Below are 12,067 nucleotides of genomic sequence, written 5' to 3'. Positions count from 1 at the left end.
TTCCCAACCTCCAGAACCGTAAAAAATAAACATCTGCTTTTTAAGCTATCCAGTCTATGGTAATTTGGTATAGTAGCCTGAGCTAAGATACGGACTCTCAGTGGAACAGAGGTTGGATTTAGCAGACAAAGATTTTAAAGCAGCTATTAAAAATATGTTCAAAAATGAAAAAAAAAAAAAACCTTGTCAAAGAATTACAGGAAAATAAGAACTCAGTAAGTACACATAATTTTATTTCCTATAATAAATTGTATTGCTTAAAAAGTGAAGCAAAGTAATTTAAATTCTGAAGAAAATAAATGTCCAGCAGAAAAATTATAAGCATAATTATAACAATATTTAATTTTTAAAACTTAATTTTTTTAGTTTTTCAAAGTTAAAAAAGTATTAATGATTATTTTCTCATTTTTAGAAAATATCAACTGATCTCAAGATAACTTTATCGAAAATGAACAATGCATACTGTACTGTAATCCAGGGACTGGCAAACTTTTTCTCTAAAGAGCCAGATAGCAAATATTTTAGAAGCAAAAGAGCAAAATTGAAGCTATTATGTAGGTCTTAAGTAACAACAATGAAGACAAACTTCCACAATTTTTATTGATGAAACTTAAAATATAAAATAATAATTGACTATAATTTTTGAAATATAGACCTATACATTTTGGGGATAACATTTCACTTAATTAGGGTTCAATGTTAGTGTTTCCTATCATTGAAATTTCATCTGCTACCACTGATCTGTAATAAGAGGTATTTGATCTTCAAAAATTTTCTTTTCATACAGATAGGTACTGCCAAACACTGATATCGATTGATAAACATATAATCTAATTATGCATATTTATCCCTTTTAATACATTTCTAGGTTTTTACTAGATTCTTCTACTAAAAGCTTGGCATTTTATTATACTGCAGATTAGTCATTTCTAGTTGAAGGTCCTCAACTGCACAATTAAACAAATTTTGAAATACGGAGGTTTCTTTGTATTCACATTGAAGTCTGAGAAACATTGCTGGAACTGTACTTTGACCTTAGAAGATATTTCTACTGCAAAATTCTGCAGGGACAGAGATCTTGCTATTTTGTTTTAACTTTTGACACCAAGTAAAGTATATAAAACAGCTTGACATTAGTTAAGATTCAAACATTAATTGTTGAAATAACTTTACCACAGTATAAGTTTCTCTTAAAATAGTTATTTTTTTGTCTCACAATTTTGGGTTAAGTTCATTAAGAAAAGTTACCAAATCTGGTGACTTAAATTTTCAAATTTTTCTGGACTTTGCTTTCCTGTGAGTTGATAATACTGTGATGGGTGTTTAATCTGGTAACATGTGATCCACATTCCATGGTGCCTTAAAGCTGTAACATTCAAAGTCCGCTTTCCTTATCCTTTCTTGACATGACATAATGTGTGCACAGTTAATAAAAAATTAATGAAATGCCACAGCATGGCTGTGTGCATGCTACTCAAAACACTGTGGAGTTACAAACAAGTCACTGTAATTTGTAGTTGCTGAGCAGCACTGCAAAGCAATGAGAGCACAACATGTAATCTGTCTCAACTACTCAACTCTGTCATAAAAAAAGTATCAATGAAAGAACCGATAGGCAATACATAAATGACTGGGTTGGCTGTGTTTAAATAAAATTTAGTTTACATAAACTAAAATTTAAATTTCATGTGATTTTCATATCACAAAATATTTAAGTTTTTTTAACCATTCAAAAATGTAAAAAACATTCCAAGTTCAAAAACAAGAGATATACAGAAAAGTGATGGGCTGAATTGTGCCCACAAACCATAGTTTATCTATCCCTGATCTAAACTGCATTATTTGATCATTTTCTCAAGTGACACTTCCTAATAAATGGATAATCTCCCACATGCAGTAAAAGTACATTGTATACCCAAAAGGTTGAGGCTTAAATAAGAAGTCAAGTTGTTTTGCTGCTAAACTGACTCTAAAATCCTTTCACTTGTGTAATATTTCTAGCACAGGCTAACAAAAATAAAAGCCTACCCCAGATACAATTTTCTAGGATGAAGCAACTACCATATATGCAGTTAAATTTACAGTCCAAGATTTTACTCCTGTACCCCAAAGCTGGAATTCTAGAGCAAGAAAAAATGCTATCTTATTTCATGTTTCATACTCTAGTATTACATATTATTGACATTTGATATATTTTAGCTGAAAGAAATAATGAATAAATGAATGAATGAATCTACTCTATCCCTCTTGAAATATTGAATTAGTCTTAAACCCAACTTATCTGCTATTTCAATGCTTTTTCAGGTCAATTATAAATGCCCTATACACCATTTGTAATACCATTAGGACATTTGCTCTTTTATGTCTCTCATCAATTAATAATAATAATATAATAATAATATATCCTCCACAAAAGTATACATTTTTCTATCCATTGAACAAATTTAATCATCAAATGTTTAAAGCTTTACTAAATATTAAAATCTAGGCATCCTCTACTGAATTCCAATCCAACATAACAGCCTTCACTTTCAATTAAAATTTGGGCCAGGTGCAGTGGCTCATGGCTATAATCCCAGCACTTCAGGAGGCCAAGGCAGGCCAATTACCTGAGGTCAGGAGTTATAATGATGCCTAATATAGCAACAAAGGAATTTATTATATCCATGTAACATCAATGTGATTGAGTCCTTTTTATTCAAGGGTAAAGTCCTAAGACTCACATTAAAATTGGAATAATTATTTAGCATAAGATTATTTTACCGATAGGTGGAGTGAATACATAAGAGAATAATCAATCTTTGACTTTTAAAAACTTTTACTTGTGAAAGTCTTAGTAAATTTTATTACAAGTCAGGAGTGGTGGCTCACAACTGTAGTCCCAGCACTTTGGGAGGCTGAGGCAGGAGGATTGCTGGAGCCCAGGTGTTCAAGACCAGCCTGCGCAACATAGTAAGACCTCATCTCTAATAAAAATAAAAAAAATTAGCTGGGCTCGGTGGTGAAAGCCTGTGGTCCCAGCTACTTGGGGAGCTGAGACAGAAGGATTTCTTGAGCCCAAGAGGTCAAGACTGCAGTGAGCTATGATTAGCCACTGCACTCCAGCCTGGATAACAGAGTGAGACCCTGTCTCAAATTAAAAAAAAAAAATTGTTATCTAGCTAAGAATTTTTAACATATTCTTATTATTAGAATTTGTCCTAAAAATTTTTGAGTCCAATTGGTTTAGAATTCCTTAGATGTTTAATTGGTCTGAAATACCATAAATTAATATTTTCCTCACACTGCTAATGTATATTGTCTTCAACAGCCTATCTTCTTTACAAACACATAAATTCATTACTTAAAAATTATAAAAAATTATGAGATTATGTAAGTCAGTAAATTTCACTAATGATACTTACAACATCTAAACTCAGACAAATACAAAGCCGACATCTTTTGGGTTTGTTTTAAAAGCTTAAAGGATAACGCTTCTATCTGAAAGGTGTAGTCTATTTTTCCTTCCTCCTATGCTAGGTCTTCTCTACAAATTAATCCACCACCATTTCCATTCACCCTCTCATCTTACAAAGTAAGTAAAAGTGTGTTGTGCTAATTTCAAAACTGTAAGAATTGATTCAAACATTTCATAATTTATAGCTAGAAAACTAAACACATGTATTCTTACATTTGCTAGGCCACTTTTTACACAAAATTTTATACAGAAACAAAAAAAGGCCTGCAACTACCAGGTAAAAATAGTCAGATTAGGCCATGAGACACAGAAGAAACTAAAACTCTCCACAACAGACCTCAACTTAAAGAAGATCAAATGGGGCATCTTTTGTGCAGTTGGGCAAATGGTTGACAACATGGCTATTTAATTAAAGTGAAAAATTTCACTGGATTATAATATTAAGATTAAAATATATCTAATGAAAAGTTCAGAATCTATTATACAAGATATTAATTCGCCACTGAAACCAATTTCTAGACCTTTCTCTTGGTCTAAACGTGAAACACGAGCATCAAGTAAGTCACAAACTTCTAATATAAGTGAGTAACTTTAAAACATTTTTGGCCATAATCTACAGAAAGAAATATATATTTTACATTATAACAAAACAAAAATTTACCAAACACAATTACCCTTACTCTGTGAACTTGACTTTGATGTTTTCTACTCTATTCTAGTCTACTCTTTTTAAAAAAATGATGGTTATGATCCTCTCAATTGGTTCTGAAAGTGAAGTGGGGAGGAGACCCAATGAAGTGGATAAGGATGAGGACGAGAGTTGGAGATGGTGAACTTTGCCCCACAAGAGATATTTTGTAATGTCTGGGGATATTTCTGGCTGTCACAACTGTGATTAGGGGTGCTACTGGCATCTAGTAGGTAGAGGCCAGGGATGCTGTTAAATACCTTACAAAGCATGAGATAGTGCAACACAACAATTATCCAGCCTCAAATGTTAATAGTGCTGAGGTTGAGAAACCTGCTATAGACTACTCAATAAGAAAATAATAGATCAAATTACAAATCCAATATTACTTTTTAAGGCTATGAAAAAATATATTTTAAACTTTGAGAAGAATGTTCAAAATATTTAAATTCAGAAATACTATGACATTAGCAATCTAAGACTTACCTCCTTCTATAGCCCAAAGGCAAAAAACAAACACACAAAAAACGAAAAAGAAAAAAAATCAATTTGCAATTTCCTAACCGAACAGAAAGTATGGGAAAGCGATCAATTTAGTGTTATAAAAAGCAAACTATATCACACTGAGTAAAAGAAAAGTGTTACAAGACATACAGAGTGCGCAAAAATCAGTAAATACAACTAATGCTTCTTTCCTCTGAAGTCCTACGGTACCTGTTTAGTACAATTGCCTTATATTGCTAGTTATTTTAGATTTTCAATTTCCAGAATAGAAAAAATGTGTAAATCATTTCTACATTTTCCACTGGATCCAATCCAACACCTTGCAAATTATAGGCACTGAAAGAGTTCTTGGCAGAAAAATGAGTAAATTGGTGTTCAGTATTCAGTGAGACACTGAATTACATCTCAAAATTACATCTCAACAAGTTAAGCATACTCTTTCCACCCTGAAAACAAGCTTCATTCAGTTTAGGACAGATCTTGGAAGAGGTGAAACCAACACAAATGACCACATCCGTATGACCACAATTATACTTTCATTCAAAGCTCTTGAGAGTTGTCCTATAGAAGTCTTAACTATCACAGAACATTAAGTAATCCAAAAATGATTTGAATACTGTATGATGAGTATTGTGTATACACAGTCTCATTTGATCCTTACAATGACTGAACAATAAAGATACTATTATCCTGATTTACAGATTTATAGGTAAAGAAACAGACCTAGAGTGGTTAAAAAGGTAGAACAAAATCACATAGTGAAGGACAGAACCAGGGTTTGATCATCCTCTTTTACTCCAAAACTGATACTCTTCCCATGAAACCTCTCTGTTTTTGTTACACAAACAATGGCCCAGTCATTGTAATTAGCAGCATCATTTAACAGAACATACTGAATGAAATGACATCTATTATAAATTTGAGTGAAACTCTGTATATTTAAAATAATGAAATCCATCCGAAGTGACAAGTAAGAGACGAGCCAAAGTCACTAACACACCAATAAGGCTAAAGATAGAAGAAGAAAAGAAACAGAATATCCAAAAGGACAGCAGAGAAAAAAAAATTAGGTAGAGTAAATTATAAACTCGCTACCAATTTCCAAGGAATTTTATTATTTATAGACCAGGAAAGATTCTGCTACGTAGTAGAAGCTATGATGTACTAGGACCTCGAAAAAAAATTATTCTGCAATGATAATGTTCCCTGGTGCTATTTATAAAGTGTTGGTTAACATTTTAAAATTAGATAACTTGATGCAAATTTGCCTTGCATATTTTTGAAAGATTATGCACAAAATTGAAAAAAACAGAAAAGTAAAGACAAGGAGAAAGAGATCTGAGTTGTAAAACACATTCTTTGGAGTTATTTAGTGTAGGGATAATAAAGCAAAGTGATGATTATTTTTTAAAAGTTGGTTTGTTCTCAGAATGATGTCACTCCATATAAAAATACAGAAAAACATGTTTAAAATTCACTAACAAAATTTCTTTAACTATTAGGAAGAATTTTCTAACATTAGTTAACTATCAAAGATGAATCACAATGTTAGATACTTCTAAAGGTAATTTATTCCCAAATCAAATTGCCAATTTTCCACAAATAATAAAAAAATGCTACTATAATGATGAAAAGTCAAGACATAACTCAATCTCTTTCCCATAATATCCCAGTGTCTCAACAGCTACAATTTATCCTCACTGAATTCAATTATTGGGGGAAATATCAAACAGAAAAAAGATTACTTCATTCAAGTTTATTCTTCCAAATTCAAATTAAAGTGTAGTTTTCTGCCAAATACATGTTGGCAGAAACTGTCCTCTGTGAAACAAATGATTAAATAAATGAGACAGAGGCCTATCTTCAAGAGCGTCTATTAGAAGTTCAAGTTTTGGAATAAAAAAAAGTGAAAGCCATTTTTTTCTATATTTGATAAATGTTTTAGTTTTGCTAATTTGTTTCAAATAGGATTTTAATTTAACTCATATATACCTTTTTACTTATATGAGACTTTTATAAGTGGATACTTCAGAATACTAAAATAAAGATATCACATATAAAAAAGCTTTCAAGCACTGAATTGATACATTTCTGAGTTTTTTACATTTTTATGTGGTACAAGTGAAGGCATTACTTTAGCAAAGGATAATAGAAATACCTACCAGATAGAATCTAAACCAAACCACCAAAGATAACAAAACTATCTTTTTTCTTATTTTTTAGTATCATGATATACTCTGGCAAATGTGAAAAATGACCAAACTAAAGATTATTAAATATACTTAAGGAAGTACTACAGCTTAGGGAAAATAAAATCTCTATATACTCCATAAAAAAAATAATTAAGATCGATAGTTGCTCTTTATAGATAACTATATTTTAATAAGCAAGTTTTTCTTAGTATTTATCATTTGAATGCAACAAATATGAAATATCCCTAATGTGATTTTTTAAAACTTCATATGCATTTCCCCAACCCTATTTGTTGAATAGTTTATCTCTCCCCACTTGGATTGTTGTGCATTTTATATTTTATCATTTATTAGTTTTAATATATTATATTAGAATTTCACCGATATGTCCAAATTTTCTATCAGTATCACATTTTCAATTATTGTCATTTTATACTATCTGGTCAAGTGAGTTCTCCCTCACTACTCTTAATTATTCTTACAAGTGTTGTTTCTTCCAGACTAACTTTAGAAATAAAATACTTCAAGGGTCCAACTGGTATTATGTCTAGAATGTTATTAACTCCAAGAGATTATCTGCAAAGAGCTTGCATCTTTATACTACTTAGCCTTCCTAATTAGGAACATGAAATGAACCGCTACTCACATCTTCCTTATGTTACTCAGTAAAATTTTATGGCTCTTCCTGTGGGCCCCTCATTTCTTGTTAGTTATTTTTATATCACATTTTTTATTTTTAATTCAGAATGGAAACAATTAATGTGTTCTAACTAATTATTTTGGTACAGTATAAAATGATTCCATAATCATTTCATACCTAGCTCCTTTCTTGAATTCCCTTAGTGATTCCTGTTGATTCGATAAACAAAAAATGGACTATTCATCAAATAGTATAAGGAAATTGGGGGTAGGAGGTTGGTATGATACTCATCCATCTGGTATATTTTTGTCATACACCAAAATAAATTCCAGAATGTTAAAAAAGTTAATGGTTAAAAATAATTTAAAAATGAGATAATATACAGTTAAATACTTAATTGATTTGGAAGCGAATAAAGAGCTTTTAAAGATGAAAATAATGGAAAAAAATCACCAAATACAAAGGTTTAGATACATTAAATTCAACAGTTTCAAATAAACAAATTAAAATACTAGATAAACATTAAAATGAGAAATGTATTTGGCAAATAATAGTTAAATGGGGTAAAATCCTAACTATATAAAAAGTGCTTATAAATCAATAATAGAAAAACTAATACCCAGAGAAAGATGGGCAGAAGGAATTAAAGGAATGAACAGATAATTCACAGAAGATATCAAATGCAGATAAACATATAAAACATTCAACTTTACAATCAAATTCAAATTAAAATGACAAAGAGAGCATTTTTGTGGCTATTCAATTGGCAAAGATTTGGTGAATTGAGACTGAAAACTCAAGTACATCTGATAAGAGTAAAGCATGTTACAACCTTTTTGGAAAGCAATTTGGTAATCTGAATTAAAGCTTAAAATAATCCAAAGTACAAATATATATTTTTGAAATACTCAAGAGATGTAGGCAAAAAGTATGTATAAAGATAACCATTATAATTTTTACATTGGCAAATGGAAGCCACAGCAATGCCCCAAATAAAGAAATATTTAGTTGTGGTATAATCTTATGATAGAATATTAGTGTAGCTATTTAAAACGTATTACTAAAGAACATCTAATGGCTTGAAAAAAATCATTTATGATGTGATAACAATTGAAAGCATCAGTATACAAAATTATATATAGCATGATATCAATTTTATAAATCTATAAACCATACATGCATAGGAAAAAAAAGAAAGAAAATACAATAAAAGGTTAACAATGGTTATATCTGGGGGAAGAAATATGGATAACTTGCATTTCATTCTTTATGCTTTGAGGACTTTTTCAGATGTTTTATAGTGAATATATTGTTACTTTTATAAGGAGACAAAAAATAAATGTTATTTTAAAAACTACAGTTAATGGATATTTTTGAAATATGCTGTCAAATGATACAAGAAAACTTTCAGAAACAAAGCAAGAAGGCAATTTTTAAAAATCAATAGAACATCATTCTGTCGTTCTTATACATGAACAACAGAAGATACTTTTTATAACACGAAATTTTCTTCACACGTTCGATGCCATTAAAAGACTTTTAAAATAAAGCTACTAGTAATACCTATTAAATTTTCACTCAGAAATGCAATCTATTAAAAAAAACGCTTATCTAATCAATTACAGCAAAATGTATGATTAGAAAGCTTACCTTTTTCACTTACACTCTCACTTTCAATCTCAACATCATCACAACTTGTATATTCAGGCGTGGAAGCCAATTCCTCCTCTGAACTGCTCAACGAAATCTGGCGCATTTTACCGCCTTTCTTTGATTTATGAGGCTTTGGTGGTGGAGGTCTCACTGACTCTGACTGGTCTGAACTGAGAGAATCATTCCTTAACATTGTTTCCATTTTTTCCCGTTTTGTTTTTCTTACAGCAGAGCTAGGATCTAAGTGGTGCTGTTTCCGTAGTGAGTCAGTACGCCTCAAGTCTGGTCTATCTATGGGTAGTGGACTCCTCCTGGGGGTAGGAGGACTATGGTTTGTGGTCCTTTGTGCATAAGAACTTGGTCCCTGAGCCTCTCGAGTTCTTTCCATTGAATAAGATCGCTGATTTTCCATGGCAGCTCTACGTTCTGATATAGATCTTTGCCTTGATGGTCGATCCATCCTTAGCATAGAAATCCTGGAATCTTCCAGATCAGCATTTGCCAAAGAAACATCACTATGCCTTCTCTCATGCCGTGCTCGGGACACTTCAGCATGGATCCGCATTTGTTCTTCATAGGGTTGTGGCTTTACTGGATAACGGGCCAAATTCGGATCACTTCGGTAGCGTGACTGGTACTCTTCCTCTCTCCTTTGCCTTTCGTATTCATCTCTGCTTTCCACATCCTCATCATCTACAATATATTCTTTGGAATGCCTATGACTTCTCCTGTTGGAGTCCCTATAACTTAAATGATCAGAGTCTTCATAAAACTGAGGTTCATGTTGAGATCGCCTATCAGCATAATCTGATGGAGATCTAGGCATTGCGGTATCCGAAGTAGCATACTGTGAATATTCCTCTCTTTCTTCCCTTTGGTCGTATCTTCTATTCTGATCTCTGGACACAGATGGGCTTCTTTTCCTAAGTAACCAAAGGAAAAGAACAATGAGAAGAGCAAAAGTTTATCAATTTTACATTTCATTGATTTGCTGGCAGGTTGATGGATAACTAAGTAGTCCTTTTGCCTTTTTAAAATTTCATTTTAAAGGCATAGCGTAACAATGGTTTTAGTAGTATTCATTATATTCAGTTCAAATAAGTACTTTGTTGTGGTTATTAAGTGCCTGCAACACTATATCTGGAATATGCTTATGCTTGAAAATTAGATAATATGATATTCCACTGCTATAAACTAGCATTTATTCTAATTTCCTTGCTTGGTTTGCTACGTACACTTCCACTACCCACCAACTATTATTCAGCAGCTTAGAAAAATATTTCCTCCATCTTCTCTATACCTAACATGCTGATATGAAAGTTACCTGAAAATGTAATGAAGCCAAACTGATTTGGCTCAAGAGTTGAATACTTTCTGACTAAAATTAAGTGCTGGCTCTTAAAAATCATTTTTCATTCATCATCTTCTAGATCATTCCTAGTATTGGTTCACCTAAATTTTCATTTTATCATCATGTCTCCAACCCTTTTTTATTGATCTAACTTGAGATAAGCAATAAAAATAGACAAATAATAATGATTTATTCATTACAAAAATCCTAGAAATCAGAAAAAACTGCTATTTTTATTCCATCTTCATTTAGATTAAGAACAGCTTGGTGATATTATTCTACTAAGTCTCCACATCTGACCCCTCATATTTCCTTATAGTCTCAGAGGAAGAAACTGCTTATTACCTTCTCAACTTACCCTTCTAACACTGGTAAAACCTAGTGAACCTTGCAATAAGACATGATACCCTGTTAACAAAATATTCACACTAACCTTTTCTCTGGAATAAACTTAGATAATATCAACTATTAATCATGAAAAGCAATAGGATTAGAATCCTGAAGATAACAGAAAAGGTTTAGAAAACTATTATGGGGATTTTGCCAGGACATGAACAGGAGACAATGAAAGAGTGAAGTCAGCTGAAGTTAAAGATGACTAAGATTCAACAGTTCAGTTGTGAATTTCTTAGTCAATGGTTTCTTAGCCCAAAAGCAAGAGCAGATAAAGGATACAGTAGAATGACCCAACCTGGCAAAATCAGCACTCTTCTCTAATATCTCCCCCGGGTCACAGAATCCCTTTTCCCCTCATATTTGGAACACAGTCTGCCAATCTACCAATTAGGTTCACTAACGAAAACAGAAGTTAGTCTAGGTTTTCCAGGTAGGAAGGGTTTTAATTCAGGAACCAGAAGCTACATAACAGTTGAATGGGCGACAGGAATAAAGGCCAAGAAAGTTAATGCTGATGATCTTAGCCTGAAGATGCAAAGACAAGGGTTCTCAAAATGGACACTAGAAAGCTGCTGTGAATGTCAGGAGTCTATGGAAATCTGCCAGCAATTACCTGTACCACCTACAGCATCAGGGTGGCCAATTAACAGGAGTTTGCCCAGGAGCCACTAAGACTTTTATATCTGCCCATCTGCTAGCCAACAACTAATGCTTGACAATAATGGCTTCTGTATATCCTCTACCTTTCAAATCTCATGTAAGTACAAAGCCAGGATAAACTCTAACCTGGAACTATAAAGGAATAAGTACTGTAGAAAGTGAAAAAATTAGTCTATCCCTTAAATGTTTTATAATTAAGAAAGTGGATGTGATATTTTTTAGCATTTACATTTATATATGAAACACTTAGGACTTAATTACAAATCTTTTATATTACAATTGTTACATAAAACCATAGATTCCTACAGTTTAAAATTTACAATCAAAACAAAACATTCAAAAAAATTTATAGTACCCAACACCCTATGTTTCTGTGTATATGTGTGTGTGCACTGTGCATCATTCATTTCACTTTTGTCATTACTTTTATACATTTGACTAAAAAAACTCTAGCATGATAGTAGTCTATCATGAAGAGAACACTAGATTTAAGGAATCTACAGTTCTTAGTCATACTTTTGTAATT

At 32.0% G+C, this 12,067-nt stretch overlaps 1 protein-coding gene across 64 annotated transcripts in view; it reads right to left on the bottom strand.

The window, feature by feature from the left end:
* Nucleotides 1–12,067, bottom strand: part of RIMS2 (regulating synaptic membrane exocytosis 2) — a 755,485-nt gene that overhangs the window by 360,740 nt on the left and 382,678 nt on the right. For all 64 annotated transcript variants that reach the window (NR_145710.2, NR_145711.2, XM_017014015.3 and 61 more), the window contains one exon: nt 9,132–10,057. Coding sequence is in view for 62 of the 64 variants with exons in the window: in XM_017014015.3 (XP_016869504.1) it covers nt 9,132–10,057 (926 nt within the window). In the remaining 2 variants the exon portion in view is untranslated. The remainder of the gene's footprint in view (nt 1–9,131; nt 10,058–12,067) is intronic.

Source organism: Homo sapiens, chromosome 8 (assembly GCF_000001405.40).
Source record: "Homo sapiens chromosome 8, GRCh38.p14 Primary Assembly".
NCBI lineage: Eukaryota > Metazoa > Chordata > Mammalia > Primates > Hominidae > Homo > Homo sapiens.
The sequence above is the reverse complement of the archived record's forward strand: the minus strand, read 5'-3'. Positions and strand labels throughout refer to the sequence as shown.